The 15,422-nt window shown below is 42.8% G+C and overlaps 1 protein-coding gene and 1 long non-coding RNA gene across 6 annotated transcripts, besides 2 other annotated features; one reads left to right on the plus strand and one right to left on the minus strand.

The window, feature by feature from the left end:
* On the minus strand, window positions 236–3,472 carry GZMB (granzyme B). 3 transcript variants are annotated; one of them, NM_004131.6, is made up of 5 exons: window positions 3,388–3,472; window positions 2,197–2,344; window positions 1,606–1,741; window positions 1,140–1,400; window positions 236–496 (listed from the first exon to the last, which is right to left on the minus strand). In NM_004131.6, the coding sequence occupies exons 1-5, from the start codon at window positions 3,440–3,442 to the stop codon at window positions 353–355; spliced, it is 744 nt and encodes a 247-aa protein (NP_004122.2). In that variant the 5' UTR covers window positions 3,443–3,472; the 3' UTR covers window positions 236–352. The 3 variants fall into 3 exon arrangements, 2 of the variants coding, with proteins under 2 accessions (NP_004122.2, NP_001332940.1); NM_001346011.2 differs by having other exon boundaries at window positions 2,197–2,357; NR_144343.2 differs by lacking the exon at window positions 1,606–1,741.
* GZMH-AS1 (GZMH and GMZB antisense RNA 1) lies at window positions 2,384–14,862 on the plus strand. Of its 3 annotated transcripts, XR_007064088.1 has the most exons (5): window positions 7,877–7,974; window positions 8,463–8,527; window positions 9,185–9,405; window positions 9,791–9,910; window positions 12,547–14,862. It is a non-coding gene; the product is annotated as a GZMH and GMZB antisense RNA 1 (long non-coding RNA). The 3 variants fall into 3 exon arrangements; XR_001750667.2 differs by having other exon boundaries at window positions 7,853–7,974; window positions 9,185–9,910; XR_007064087.1 differs by adding an exon at window positions 2,384–2,630 and having other exon boundaries at window positions 3,578–9,910.
* Window positions 2,851–4,050: an enhancer, noted in NCBI's record as "CDK7 strongly-dependent group 2 enhancer chr14:25102775-25103974 (GRCh37/hg19 assembly coordinates)". NCBI's record gives its function as "activates an origin of replication core promoter dependent on BRD2, BRD4, P300/CBP, MED14 and CDK7 cofactors, with strong dependence on CDK7, by STARR-seq in HCT116 cells {active_cell/tissue: HCT116}" and the evidence as "EXISTENCE:reporter gene assay evidence [ECO:0000049][PMID:35650434]".
* Window positions 8,165–9,364: an enhancer, noted in NCBI's record as "BRD4-independent group 4 enhancer chr14:25108089-25109288 (GRCh37/hg19 assembly coordinates)". NCBI's record gives its function as "activates an origin of replication core promoter dependent on BRD2, P300/CBP, MED14 and CDK7 cofactors, and independent of BRD4, by STARR-seq in HCT116 cells {active_cell/tissue: HCT116}" and the evidence as "EXISTENCE:reporter gene assay evidence [ECO:0000049][PMID:35650434]".
* Window positions 14,863–15,422: the final 560 nt, after the last annotated feature.

A 15,422-nucleotide genomic window follows, 5' to 3' on the forward strand; every position in this document is an offset into this window, starting at 1 on the left:
GTGGTCCATGTTGTCTCCTGATGGTGCTCAGCTTCAGCCTTGGCAGAAGGGCAGGCCCTGGAGAAACTGGTGTGGATAGGAAGGAGCTGAGTATCAGCTTCATGTGGGGGTTTGGGGAGGTGGCAAGGGGTGAGGGGAGAGGAGAAAGCAGAAAACAGCAAAATTGTGTCATTGGCCTGCATAGCGCAGATGTGGTGCCTGAGAATGAGGGTCAATGAATAAACAAGAAACCAGCTTTTCCACTCAGCTAAGAGGTATTTATTCAGTTGCTGGCACCTCTCCCAGTGTAAATCTGGACTTGGCTCCAGAGAAGGTGTTTCATTACAGCGGGGGCTTAGTTTGCTTCCTGTAGTTAGTAGCGTTTCATGGTTTTCTTTATCCAGTGTACAAAGCTTGAGACTTTGGTGCAGGCTCGTGGAGGCATGCCATTGTTTCGTCCATAGGAGACAATGCCCTGGGCCACCTTGTTACACACAAGAGGGCCTCCAGAGTCCCCCTGTGAATAGAGAGTGGAAGGACTGAGCTGATGCTCCTCCGGGTCCTGCCCTCTCTTCCATCTCAAGCCCCCTTTTAGAAAAGGCCAACTTGCACAGCCTACATGTGGGAGACCAGAGGGCAGGGCAGGCCGCTGGTGGCCCCCAGCTGCCAAGCTCTGGCCCTGGACATTGTTACTGCTTCACCTCATCCCAGGGGCCAGCCTCCGTCATGTCCCCCAGATCCTGAGATCGGAGGTATGTGGGACCGTTGGCTGTTTAAGGACCCAGAAGTGGGCAAGGAGGGCTGATGTCCACCATGGAGGACCAGCCCATTAACCACGTTGGGTACCAGCCTCTGAAGACACACCTGGTTATAATTACTGCACCCCCAGTGGGCACAGTTTCCTAATATCTGTGACCTGGAGTGGGTGGAGTGTTGCAAATTCATCCTTCCAAAGAAGCACCATCCACCATAAGCCTCCTGGTAAGTTTGCAGAGGCCCTAATTTCTCCCCAGCTCAGTCTAGTCCCCTCTTCTCTTTCCAGAGAGAAATATCACAGTCTAGTGGGTGAAGGAGTCCCCCACTACTTGAGTCTCCAGGTCTCAGATATTCCCCAAACATCTTTCTCCCAAGAGCCAATCCAGGCAGGTGCATAGTCTTACCTTAAAGGAAGTCTTTTTAATCTCTGGGTCCCCCACGCACAACTCAATGGTACTGTCGTAATAATGGCGTAAGTCAGATTCGCACTTTCGATCTTCCTGCACTGTCATCTTCACCTCTTGTAGTGTGTGTGAGTGTTTTCCCAGGGGGGCCGTCTGCCCCCAGCCGGCCACACTGCATGTCTGCCCTGGCTTCACCTGGGCCTTGTTGCTAGGTAGCCTGAGGGGCTGCACAGCTCTGGTCCGCTTGGCCTTTCTCTCCAGCTGGTGGGGAAGAGGCAAGAAAGTCCAGGTCAGCCAACGAACTTCTGGGCCCCGACACAGTGATGGGGCTGCACAATCTTCCCTCTCCTCTGAGGCATAGGAACTAACCAAGAGGCCAGGATGGAAAGGAGGGAAGGGCCGGCATTCCAGGGGGAGTGGAACCAACTGGACCAAGAAGAGCAAGAGTGGCAGGAGTGTGCCTCACCTGCAGTAGCATGATGTCGTTGGAGAAGTTCTTAGGATTATAGGCTGGATGGGGGATGGGTCTTTTCACAGGGATAAACTGCTGGGTCGGCTCCTGTTCTTTGATATTGTGGGCCCCCAAGGTGACATTTATGGAGCTGCACAGAGAGCAGAGTGAGGATGGGGGTGGAGTCACAGGGTATACAGCCCAGAGACAGTGAAGAGCAGGTGACAGCTGGGGCAGGGCTGCAGCTGAGGGGAAATTAAGGGGACAGTCGGTCCCCAGGAATTGGAATTCTGGTAATTGCACCAGGTTTCTCAGGGTTCGGTTCCCCCTAGAAACACAGGTGGAATTGCTTCAGTTTGTATTCTATGCCAAAGTATGCCCCCAGTTCTAAATATGGCAGGCTTGGTCACTCTGCTGTTTCTTACTTCAGCAGCACCTCTGGAACCAACCTTCCCCTCTCTCCACAAACTTAACTGCCCTTTTCTCACCCTCTAAGGAGACCTCCTGGCATGTGTGTTCACAGGAGCCCAGGGAGCTCCTTGGGAAGAAGGCAGGGGTCTCTGTGGAGTGTTTCCAGGAGGGTGTGGGCTGTTTTCTGCTCCTCACCTTCCCCAACAGTGAGCAGCTGTCAGCACGAAGTCGTCTCGTATCAGGAAGCCACCGCACCTCTTCAGAGACTTCTGATCCCAGATCATAAGATAAGCCATGTAGGGGCGGGAGTGGGGCTTGGCCTCATGTCCCCCGATGATCTCCCCTGAAGGAAAAGTCTGTCTGCTTGTGGGCACCCATGGAATCTGCTGGGTGGGCACCTGCTTAGTGGCTCCAGAACTCCTGGGCATTTGGGAGCCTGGGATAGCCTGGAGTTGGGAGTGGCCTGGAGGAAGGGGCTTCAATTTCCTGCTCTGAAAAAGGGAAGAACAGCAGACTTTGGTCTGTAAATCTTTCTTCCATATGTAGTTGAAGGCGAGCATACCTGTCTTAGGGACAGTGAAATCCCAGAGGCTCCTGATCATTCCTCTCCTGACTTTGCTTTGTTTCAGGTGAGTTTCCAAGACCCTTATGAGTCCTGTGGTGTCTAGGATAGTGCTGCTTTCTAATGGCCAGGGTGTAAGTGGAGGGATCTAGATACTGTCATATCCTGTTTCCTAGAGCCTGACATGTAGTGGGTGCCCAGTAAATGTTCATGGCTGCATGATGGACTGGCTCCAGTTAGCCTCTGGATGAGGGCTGGTAGAGCAGTGCTGGTGGAATTCTAGAAAGCAGGGAAGCTGGGGCCTGCCGTAGTGCCTCATCCTTGGAAAGAGGGGAGCCACCAAAGGCCAGGGAAGAAAAGCAGAGTTGGAGAATGGGACTGAGCAAACACATTAACAGTGTTCTGAGGACAGTGATTGTACCAATTCTGCTGTCAGCTGAGCTCTGGGTTTCTCTCCTAAGTAGACAGTGAGAGAAGCACCTGTCTTATCCCAGAAACAGAAGCCAGGCCTACTCTAGAATAATTTAATATTTCTCTTTTCTAGTTTCCCATCCTCTGCCATTTACTTCTAGGAAAGTCCTACTCTCCAGGTGACAAAGGTGGGCTCTGGGGAAGGGATAGTACCCACTGGCTCTTCTTGAGAATGGCCTGCTGCTCTGCCATTCCTGCTGATAGCTTATCCAGCATCACACTTGGGGGGTCTTGGTAGAATGGGAGCTGGAGTTCAGAACATTCCTGGTAGATAGATGGATCAGGAATGTGGAGAAAGGGCAGGAGACCTGTGGGATGGGGTTGGGCCCCCGAGGGTGGAGACGGTCACTCACCTGCATCTGCCCTGGGCAGCAGGAGGAAGGCCAGCAGAAGCAGGATTGGTTGCATCTTCTCAGGAAGGCTGCCCTGGTTGGAGCTGCTGTTGTTTCCTCCTTGCTCTCTTTTAGCTCTTGGGAGAGGAAAGAGGTGGAGCAGGCTCAGTGACTTCATGTTCCCCTCTGGTTTTGTGGTGTCTCATCACAGATTTTCTGTAAATGCTGCCCACCCCCACTGCCTCTGCCTGATGACGTCCTCTGGGTGCTTGTGTGAGAATCATGCAGTGACCACATCATCACCCACAGCTGATGACTCAGAGTGGACCACCTATTCAGCCCAGAGCAGGAACCCAAGCCTATGAAGTGAATTGTAGGATGTGGTATCAGCCAGTAGAGGTACTGGAGCACCAGAAACCTGAGTTCCCAGTGATAGAACCGCCAATGCCTCATGGCCATGCTGCTAAATCCATCAGGATAGTTTCTTTAGCAGGTATGTGTTTGAGCCCTTCTGTTGTGCTAGAACCAAGCATGTTGGAGATGTGTCTCCTTCACTTAGAGAGCTGACCATCTGGTTGAAGAGACGGAAATGCCAGGAGCCAGAGTACAGTTTGGGGAGGGCTATGGTAGCACAATACACAAGGCAGTAACAAAGCATGGCCACCATCTACTAGACCCATCTAGCAACCCATTTATTATCATAGCTTCCTTTCTAGAGAATTTCTAACATCCCTTATTTAGTTACAAATGTTTAGTGTGAGAGTCCACCTCTTTTCTGAATGCTTTCAATAAAAGTCCTGTACTTGACATTTTATTGGGCTAGATTAATGAATTGCTAGGAGTCAAATCCACTTTGGGTAGGCTGGGGTCAGTCTACTCAAGCCACTAGAACCAAGAATGAGAAAGGGCTGGTTCTCTAAAGGACGTTTGTGGTGCTAAATTGCTGATACCATATGAAGTGAGGAAGCATGCCAGGCAGCCAAAGATCAGTAGTTGTGTTGTTTAGTATTCTGTCTCCTGTCCAGAGAGCCACACTTCTTACATAGCAGGCTCAGCACATAACAGGCTCACAGTAAACATTTGCTAAACAAACTACACTAATGCTATCATTATAATGGATGTGAAAGATTGTTGTTTCTGAACAGCCCGTGCCCAATTCTGTTAAAAGACAACTAAGTCTCTCTACATGGTTCGATTCTTGTGATTTGTTTCCACCTTTATATTTTCTGTGAGGAAATTTTTCTATGAGGAATGGTATATCTCAAAATATAGAATTCCAGTGTAAACGTCTTCCTTGTCAATAGCAAGCCAACTACATTTATCAAACTTCTATTTTTTGAACCTAGCTTGCCCCATAGTAGACGTTTTAAAAATAATTTTTTCTGATTATAGTCATAATATATGTTTGTTAAGAAAATTTGGAAAGTAGGAAGGGAAAATATCACTTTTTAACCTGTCTCCCACAGACTGACTGTTACCATAAGCAGTGTGTTTTAAATACTTGGGATCACATTGTACATACAATGCAATTTATTTTATCCTTGATTAACCCTACAAATTAAGCATTTTCCCCATGCTCGTAGAAATCTTAGTCAATACAACTATAGTCTTTCTTTCCTAGGCATTAAAAAATTTAATATGCAAGTAATTTTTAAATAATTTTAGCAAAGCGAAAATAATAAACATTACCTAATTTCTCATCATTCACTGATAACCATCTTTAATGTCTTGAAATATGCTCTAGCACATTTTTTCTCATGTAATATCTGCATTTTTTAAAATTAAAAGGGGATTATGCTAAACATAAGTTTATGACCCATTTAAAAAATTGAGGTAAAATTCACATAACATACAATTAACCATTTTAAAGTATTCAATTCAGTGACATTTAGCACATTCAAAATCTGCAACCACCACCTCTGGATATTTCATATAAACGGAATCACACAATACATGACCTGTTGTGGCTGGCTACATTCACTTGTAATAATGTTTCTGAGATTCATACAAGCTGTAGCACATGCCAGTATTCGTTCTTTTTAATGGAAAAATAATATTCCCATTGTATGTTTATACCACAAGTTATTTGTTCATCTGTCAATGGACATTTGGGTTGTTTTCATCTTTTGGCTATTGTAGCTAATGCAGCAATAATAAGCATTTGTGTACAAATTTCTGCATGAACAATATGTTTTCAGTTCTTTTGGATATATACCAAATATATATACTTTTGGAATTTCTGAGTTATACAATAATCCTATTTTTAATTTTTTAAGGAACCACCAAACTGTTTTCCACAGTGGTTGTACCCTTTTGCATTGCTTATCAGCAACATAGGAAAGTTCCTATTTCTCTGCATCCTTGCTGACACTTGTTATTTTAAAATTATTATCTTCATCCTAATGGGTGTAAAGTAGTATGTCATATGGTTTTGATTCACATTTCCTTTATGAGTAATGATGTTGAGCATCACTTCATGTGTTTGCTGGTTATTCGCATATCTTCTTTGGAGAAATGTTGATTCAAGTCCTTTGCCCATTCTTAAAATTGCGTTGTTTTTGTTTTCATTGTTGAGTTGGAAGAGTTTGTTATATATTCTGGATACTCAGCCCTTATCAGATATGTGGCTTGTAAATATTTTCTCCCATTCTGCAGATTGTCTTTTCATTTTCTTGATATTGTCATTCCATGTGCAAATTAAAAAAATTTTATGCATTCAAATGTATCAATTTTATCTTTTGTTGCTTGTGCTTTTGGTGTCAAATTTAAGAATCCATTGACAAATCAGAAACCATGAAGATTACGCCTGTTTTCTTCTAAGAGTTTTATGGTTTTGGCCCTTATATTTAGGATTGATTTATTTTAAATTAATTATTGTATGTGACATAAGGTAGGAGTCTACTAGAGTATTTTGCACATGGCTATCCAATTGTTCCAGCACCACTTGTTGAAGATATTATTCTTTCCCCACTGAATGTTCAAGACCCCCTTGACAATCCTTATCAAAAATCAAATGGCCATAAATGTTGTGTTTATTTCTGGACTCTGAATCTATTCCATTGATCCATATGTCTATCCTTATGCCTTTGCCATGCTGTTTTAATTACTGTAGCTTGTAAGTTTTGAAATTGAGAAGTGTAAGTACTCCAACTTTGTTTTTCTATTTCAATATTGGTTTTGCTTTTTTGGATCCTATGGAATTACATATGAATTTTAGGATTGGCTTTTCCATTTCAGCAAAGAAGACCATTTGAAATTTTGACAGAGATTGCATTGAATCTATAGATTGCTTTGGGAAGTATTGCCATTTAACAATATTAAGTATCCCTATCCGTGAACATGGGACATCTTTCCATTTAATCAGCAATTATTTGTGGTTTTTAGTGTACAATTCTTTCACTTCCTTGGTTAAATTTAGTCCCATGTATTTTATTCTTTGGGATGTTATTATAAAGGAAATTGTTTTCTTAGTTTCCTTTTTTTATTGTTCATTGTGGGTTTGTGTATAGAAACACAACTGATTTTGTACCCTGAAATTTGTTGAATTTGCTTATTAACTCTACTAGTTTTTGTGTGGATTATTTGGGATTTTCTTTGTATACAGTCATGTCATCTGCAAATAGAAATAGTTTTACTTCTTCCTTCATAATTGGATACCTTTTCTTTCATTTTCTTACCTAATTGCTCTGTTTAGGAATTCCAGTGCAATATTGAATAGCAGTGATGAAGTGAGCATCTGGTTGGATTTTCTATTTCTTCTTGAGTCTGTTTTGGTAGTTTCTGTGTTTCTAGTAATTTGTCCATTTCATCTAGACTACCTAATTTGTTGGTGTACAAATGTAGATAGTATTCTTTTTATAGTCCTTTTAATTTCTCTAAGGTTGGTAGTAATGTCTCCACTTTTATTTCTAATTTTAGTAATATAAGTCTTCTACAAACTTCACCATCTCCTATATTTTTCAGGGACTTGGGGAGAAAAATTAAGGAGGTGCTGAAGAATAAAAGTCTTTTGTCTATATCTCTGATGTTAGATTCTGATTCTGTTAGAAGAGAGAGGTACCTCAGTGGCTACCATATGGTGATGGAAAAGTTTATTCATATTACACACGCTCTTCCCTTTTATTCCTTATTTCCCTGCTGTTCTTAATCTGTAGAAGAATGTCATGCCTTGCCCATGAAGGGAAATACTCTTGGGTATTAGCCTTTCACTGAACCACAGCTAGTCCCTTTTCGAAGTGGCCAAGGCCAATCCTTACAGGTAAATGAGAACAGCACAATGACATGACATTCCCACACTCATACATGACATTTGATTCTGATGTTGTGACCTGATTTCCCTGAGCTTGATCATTCTCTTAAGTCATGGCAAAGTCAGAACTTACAGGCATAAGGAGCCAGAAGTTGGCCCTAGATTTCATTTGACCATGAGACTCAGCTATGTTGTAGAGAAGAAAATCTGTTTTTTTGTTTTGTTTTGTTTTTTGAGACGGCATCTTGCTCTGTCACCCAGGCTGGAGTGCATTGGTCCGATCTTGGCTCACTGCAACCTCCGCTCCCTGGGCTCAAGTGATTCTCGTGCCTCAGCCTCCGGAGTAGCTGGGATTACAGGTGTGTACCACCATGCCCAACGAATTTTTGTACTTTTAGTGGAGGCAGGATTTCACCATGTTGCCCAGACTGGTCTTGAACTCCTGGCCTCAAGTGATCTACACACTTTGGCCTCTTAAAGTACTGGGATTACAGGTATGAGCCACCACACTTGACCTGTAGAGAAGAAATTCTTGTCTCAGTTAAAAGTTATCTCTGTATTCCTATTAGGATAGGATGCTAGTCAGAATTCCTGGGATATGTACATAAAATCAAAAATAATTTGAGATAAAAAATCTGTCAGCAAAGAAGAACTTAGGTAACATATTAGAGTGGAGAATGTGGTACTTCCATTTTGCTTCTGTGGTAGTAAGGATTGGGAAGAGGGCAGAGATGGGAAGAGAAAAGTGTTTCTAGGACAGACATACATCTATTATTTTTCTGGAGTTTGAGTATCTACTAGAACAACCTTTAATTTTCCCTTATTGCCTATTCTTATCATTGCCCAGCCACCATCACAAATGAAAAAAGGATGGAGAAGAACAAGTCTGGATGTTGGGTTGGGGACAATCCAGTAAGACTCTGGAGTGGGTAAATGTCTGGTGTGGATGAAAAGAGGCCTACAGAAGAAGGGGGAGTAGAAGTAGGTTTGAGTGAGAACAGTGCGCCCACCTCCACCAAACCGGGAGCAAGTGTGACAATACAGACTCAGAAAAGTAAATTGGCATGGACTGCACTTCCGGGTTGGAGCAAGTTGAAAGGCATCAATGTTCTGGGCTGTGATGTCACCTTCAATGTGACCTTGGGTCATTCTCAAGATCCACCCCACATCCCCATAACCTGGGGGTTTTTACATTCCCAGGATCTTTGCCCACCAAGGCCACTGCCCTTTCCCAAAGCATCTTGTTTCCACAGAGTCTGAAGTTCACATACTAATGTTCTGGAGTGATGGACTCTCTCTTAAGTATCTTGTTTACAGTCTCATGCTGTGCATTTTTTTTTTTTTTACCATGTCTGCATGGGATATGGCAAAGGGTTTGGTTTAGTGTAGATAAAAAGAATGCTGCAGAATCATTCGCTAGAACCTTTAGCATATGATTGCAAAGTTGGTGGGTCTTTCTCTTTTTCTCTCTATCTCAAAGTTCAGGGCAAGTATAATAATAAGTTATTGTGTTTGGAAACAAATTCATGCTTAAGCATTCTTATGTTATATCCCCTCTCTGTTCCCCAGACGTGGTATGACATCTACTTGTGGACACACTCTGCTTTCTGGTTTTTCTGTTTCTGATTAGAAACTCAAAAACAATATGAGAAACATACCTGAAAACAGCAGAAGATCTGGATCATTCCGGCCAGCAATTCAAAGTCTGCCAAAGGGAAATCAAGTATTGTAGAAACCTACGGGGCCTCTCAGAGCATTTTACCAGAACTGTGGCAGGGTGACTGATTGTGGTATTCTCTTTGTATTCTCTATGCTGAATCATTTGCCAGAACTTCCAATATATGATTGCAAAACTAGACTTTTTTAATGTTATCTTGTCTCAGATTTCTAAGCCTGAAAGATTGAGGCTGTTGCTGAACGATGCTTAATTAACCAAGGCATTGAGCTCCAACCATGAGGCTTTGAGGAGTTTGATATCTAGCCCCTCTTGGCATCATATGCTAAGACTGGCTGTGAGGCTATGAGAATCTTAAGTACCTGCACGCTGTTCATAAGTGGTACTCTAAAACTCCTGAGGAAATAAGGGAGACTGGAATTAGTGGGATTAGCTTGTGGGATTAGCTTGTGTCCTTTGGCTTAGCCTCTTTCTCTCCAGAAATTTCACTTTTGGCTCAGTCCTCACAGGGGAAGAAAGTCTTGTCCAAAGATGGCGTCTACCCTGTGCTCCACTGTGTATCCCAGAGGAGAGCATCTTTACTGTGGAATGGACTTCCAGCTGACTCATGTTGGGGAAAGGTGAGCTGGGGCATAGGCACCTCATAGCTAGCTTCTAATAATCTGAGGTTCTCATTTGGTAGCAGAATTAGTTGTTTTGAGCATGACTCTGGTGAAGGAGAAATCAAGGAAGAGGGACAGAAAGGGCATTAATATGAATCCCTATCTTACTGTATTACAAAGCGTATAAAAGCGGGTTTATATATGTTATCTCATTGCATTCTGTACATGCTGTATGGCAGTTAACCTTGATCACATTTTAAAATGAAAGACTCAGAGATATTAAGTGATGTGCCCCAGGTCACATGGTTACAAAAAGTGTACACACACACTACATGCCTGAAAAGCTGCAAACTTTCCTCTCTATCAGTCTTAGAAGTGGGGAAGCTTCTTCTAAGTTGGCAATTTCAACTCAGCGAAGCAAAGTGCCCTCACAATTAGAGTTCTCTTGGGAATGGCTGTTCTGGTGAGCCCGTGTACTTTCTCTCCAGGGAGTTGTTGCAACAGTGGCTGGAAAACATCTTAGGGCAACTGGGAGGTTATCATGAGCATGCACATAAGATCTTTTAAGACCTCTTGCAACTGTGAGCATTTGCCTCTCAGCTGGAAGAGATCTGATCTGGGATTCGATTGCCAATTTCTGGGCCTCTTACCATCACCTATCAAAAGAGGATATGGGCTACAATACAGGTTTTAAAATGTTTTTAACTATAGAATCCTTTCTTCAAATGGATTATGTATGTGTTAAGGTAGCTTTTTGAAATCATATGTCTATATTTATCTATATTCTGTATACCTAAACCTATATCTCTATTTTTACATATCTATTTACACATATCTTTATATATCTTTACTTATCTTTACATATGTATTTACACATAGACATACTTAAATATACATAATTGTCTATATTTATTTTATATATAATTACAAACAGACAACACATGTGTATATGTGTGTGATATATATATGCATGTTCATATATATGTGTATGTGTTTGTCTGTTTAGTTGTTGTATATTTTTGTTTGTTTTGATCACTTCATTTCCCTTTCCAAACATGATCTTGGTACATTTATCTCAGGAGTATTTTCAGAAGGTGTGAAGTAAACTACTCTCCCCTTATTATGAAAGTGGCCAAGATCATTAAGATATTCTGGTTGAGATTTTGAAATTACCTGGCACATATTTCATACAAACTTGAAGATAATTGGAGGGAATAAGACAACATGAAGTGTCATAATAGATATGATAAAGAACTAAATAGATCTTCCAAAAATAAAAAGTGAAATAAAATTAAACGCTAAATGAATATGTTTTCTTGCAGATTGAAGACGAACAGAAAAGAGAATTATCAACTGAAAGAACAATCAGAATAAATTAGAGTACAACACACAAAAAACAAAACTAGTCTAGTAACTAGAAACTGCTAAAGGAAAATGAACACTTTTTATATAGGATGATAATCACAATTCCTATTGGCATTTAAAAAAAGTGTAGAATTAAAATACAAAAATGTTGGGAGATGATAAATGAGGTTTAAAGTCCTAAGTTTCTTGTATTTTCAGGAAGGAGGGTAAATTATTGATTAAATTTAGTTTTGATGGGTTTAACAAAATATGCTGTAATTTTGCCTTGTATTTTTAGTTTACATGTAATAATTGTACATATTTATGGGACACAGAGTGATATTTCAAATACGTATATACAATGTATAATGATAAAATCAGGATAAGTAGCATATCCATCACCTGAAACATTTATTATTTTTTTGTGTTGGGAACCTTCAAAATCCTCTCTTCTAGTTCTTTGAAAATATACTATAAATTATTGTTACCTATATTCACTCTACAGTGCTATAGAGCAGTAGAACTCATTCCTCTTATCTAACTGTAACTTGAATCCATTAGCCAACCTCTCCTTCCCTTCCTCTATCCCTTTCCCAGCTTCTAATAATTCTACTCTCTACTTCCACAATTCTACTCTCTGCTTCTATGACTTCATTTTTTTTTTTTTTTTAGATGGAGTCTTACTGTGTCACCCAGGCTGGAGTGCAGTGGCATGATCTCAGCTCACTGCAACCTCTGCCTCCTGGGTCCAAGCGATTCTCCTGCCTCAACCTACTGAGTAGCTGGGATTACAGGTGCCCACCACCGCACCCGGCTAATTTTTGTATTTTTAATAGAGACAGGGTTTCATCATGTTGGCGAGGCTGGTTTTGAACTCCTGACCTCAGGTGATCTGCCTGCCTCGGCCTCCCAAAGTGCTGGGATTACAGGCCTAAGCCACCGCGCCCGGCCTATGACCTCAATTTTTTTTTTTGGCTCCTATATATGAGTTAGAAAGTGGTATTTATGTTTCTGTGTCTGAATTATTTCACTTAGCATAATGACCTCCAGTTCCATCCATGTTGCTGCAAATGACAGGATTTTCTTCTTTTCATGGCTGAATAGTACTCCATTGTGTCTGTATACTACATTTTCTTTAGCCATTCATCTGTTGATAGTCACTTAAATGATTTCATATCTTGGCTATTGTGAATAGTGCTGTGATAGTTTTCATTTCCAAGATGGTAGATTAAAGTCATTGTTAGCATGCCTCTCTTATTTGGAAAGACAAAATAGTGTGTAGAGATTCACGCTGTGAACTTTTTTTCCAGGAAGCAACACAGGAGCTTAAGAGGAAAATTGAAAGAAACCACAGACCCTTTGAAAGAAGTGGCAAACTGCAGCTTACACCATGAGCCAGGCAGAAAACTCTGAGTCCTCAGAGTGTGAAAGGAAGAGAAACTGCCTCTGGGATATGCACTCCCACTGGGGAACCTGGCAATCCAGGCCACGGGGAAGACCTTAACCCTACCCAGTGCTGGAGCTGATTTAATGAGCTGAGGGGAGTATATGAGAAGGAGCAGCTTCAGGATGTGCTTTGCTTGCACTCCTAGACTCTACTGGGGACAGAGGGAAGCCATTCCTGATCCTACCTCACAGAGGACCATGCAGAAGTCAGCCAACTAGCTCAGGCGGTGGCCATGGGCTGAGAGGAGTGAGAAGCTCCCAACTGAGATTCACAATATAATCTCTAGCAGGGATGGACCTCCTTGACCAGAACTGAGGGGCAAGTGGGAAGTGCGCTGTGCCCACAGGTGTAGGAGCTGGGTGCCCCTGCTTCGCTAGCAGATCAGGAGGGGCATGGCCTGAGCAGTTTTTGTCTTGGCAGCCAGAGAAGGCTTATGGTCTGGGACAGTTTTGAGTGCTGAATGCAGCCTGCTTGCAACCTAGATGGCCGCTGCCAGTAGAACACTGTGGGTCTGAGACCTGTCTTGCCAAGTGCATAGGGGCTGAGTGGGGCTTACTGCCACCTGTACTCCCCACTTCCTGTGTGGACTCTTCTGTGCGGCAGGGGCAACTGCACTCCTCCCTGGAACATTATCCCAGCATCCAGAGAACTGCCCTCTGATCCCCACTGGGCCACTGATTGCACCTGCACGTGGATAGCCAGAGCGCGAACTTGCCTGACTCAGCCCCGACCTGGTTTGCCTTTTTACCCACCCTGGTAGCTTAACACAAAGGACAGAAACTTTCGGGAGTGTTATGGACCTGCCCATTGCTTGAGACACCAGAGTACCTCCCCTGGTCACATAAGCCAAGCATGAATTCCACCACTACTACTGCAGTCAGTGCTCTTTCGCACCAACTGCACCTCCTGGCTATAGGCCAATCAACATAGTCCATTACAACATCTGTAGGCAGAATAACACAGCACTGGGAAGGAGAAAACTTTTGCATGACTACAGCTACCACCATTGCCTGCATCACCCTGGCTAACCAGGAGGTCTTGAGTCTGTTCACATGACCAGATCATTACTACTACAACTGAAATTAGAGAAAGCCAGCACACTAAGGCTATTTGTAACCAAAGAATCTCACAGAGTTTACTTTACTCCTCTGCCAGCCCCATCAGAGCTGGTGCTGGTACCCACTGCTGGGAGACTTGAGGATAAGTCACATCGCTGGACCCTTTGCAGACATTCCCTAGCACAGGCCTGGAATGTAGCAGCCCCATTGGGTGGCCAGATCCAGAGCCGCAGCAGCAATCATAGTAGTCTGGCACTCAGGGACTCCTACTCCTAGGGTAAGCAGGAGTGCACCACATGAAGGGAGCACCCTGTGGGACAAAGGAATCCAGATGGCAGGCTTTGAGTCTCAGAACTTTACAATTGTGGGAAATTTCTTTCAGCAGAGAGACAGGTGCAGTGCTGGGCTCAGTGGGGAAGTCTGTGGCTCTACCTCACCAGTCAGGCAGCCCTGGTGCTTGTGAAGGGTCTTGGAGAATAGGACTTCTCCCCCTCATGCACCACTGCTGACACAGCTGGGGTTTCTCACAAAGGAACTCGGCATGAGTGCACCTGTAGACAGCCTTTCTGGGACCCTTCAGGTGACTGCATTCCCACAGGACAAGTGCCCTCCAGGCTCAGGCTTGTATGAGAGGTAGAGTCACAATTCATCTCTACATTCTTGCAGCTGAAAAGACGTGTCTGTCTGAAGGTCTAACATCCAGTATCTGTAAGGAACTTAAACAAATTTACAAAAAACCCCTAACCCACCCCATTAAAAAGTAGGCAAAGGATATAAACACACACTTCTCAAAAGAAGACATACATGCTGCCAACAATCATATGAATAAAAACTCAACATCACTGATCATCAGAGAAATGCAAATCAAAACCACAATGAGATACCACTTCACACCAATCAGAATGGCTATTACTAAAAAGTCAAAAATAACAGATGCTAGCGAGGTTGTGGAGAAAAAGGATCGCTTCCACAATTTTGGTGGGAGTGTAAATTAGTTCAACCATTGTGGAAGACAGTATGGCAACTTCTCAAAGACCTAAAGTCAGAACTACCATTTCATCCAGCAATCCCATTACTGGGTATATACCCAAAGGAATATAAATTGTTCTATTATAAAGACACAGGCATGTATATGTTTATTGCAGCACTATTTACAATAGCAAAGACAGGGATCAGCCCAAGTGCCTGTCAGTGATAGACTGGATAAAGAAAGTGGGTAGATATACACATGGAATAGTACACAGTCATAAAAACAATGAGATCATGTCCTTTACAGGGACATGGACGGAGCTGGAGGCCATTATCCTTAGCAAACTAATGCAGGAACAGGAAACCAATACTGCTTGTTCTCACTTATGAGTGTGAGCTAAATGATGAGAACACAGAGACACACAGAGGGGAACAACACGCATTGGGGCCTTTCAGAGGGTAGAGGGTGGGAGGAGGGAGAGAAGCAGGAAAAGTAACTGGCGGATACTAGGCTTAATACCTGGGTGATGAAATAATCTTTACAACCAACCCCCCTGACACGTGTTTACCTATGTAACTAATCTGCACATCCTGCACATCTACCCCTTAACTTAAAAGTGAAAAAAAAAAAAAAAAAAGAAAAGAGGTGCCTGTCTGATCTGAATAGCTAGAACACTGGGTCAGGAATGTGACTGGGAGACAGATTGCTTTC

This window comes from Homo sapiens, chromosome 14, assembly GCF_000001405.40.
Source record: "Homo sapiens chromosome 14, GRCh38.p14 Primary Assembly".
NCBI classification, from domain to species: domain Eukaryota; kingdom Metazoa; phylum Chordata; class Mammalia; order Primates; family Hominidae; genus Homo; species Homo sapiens.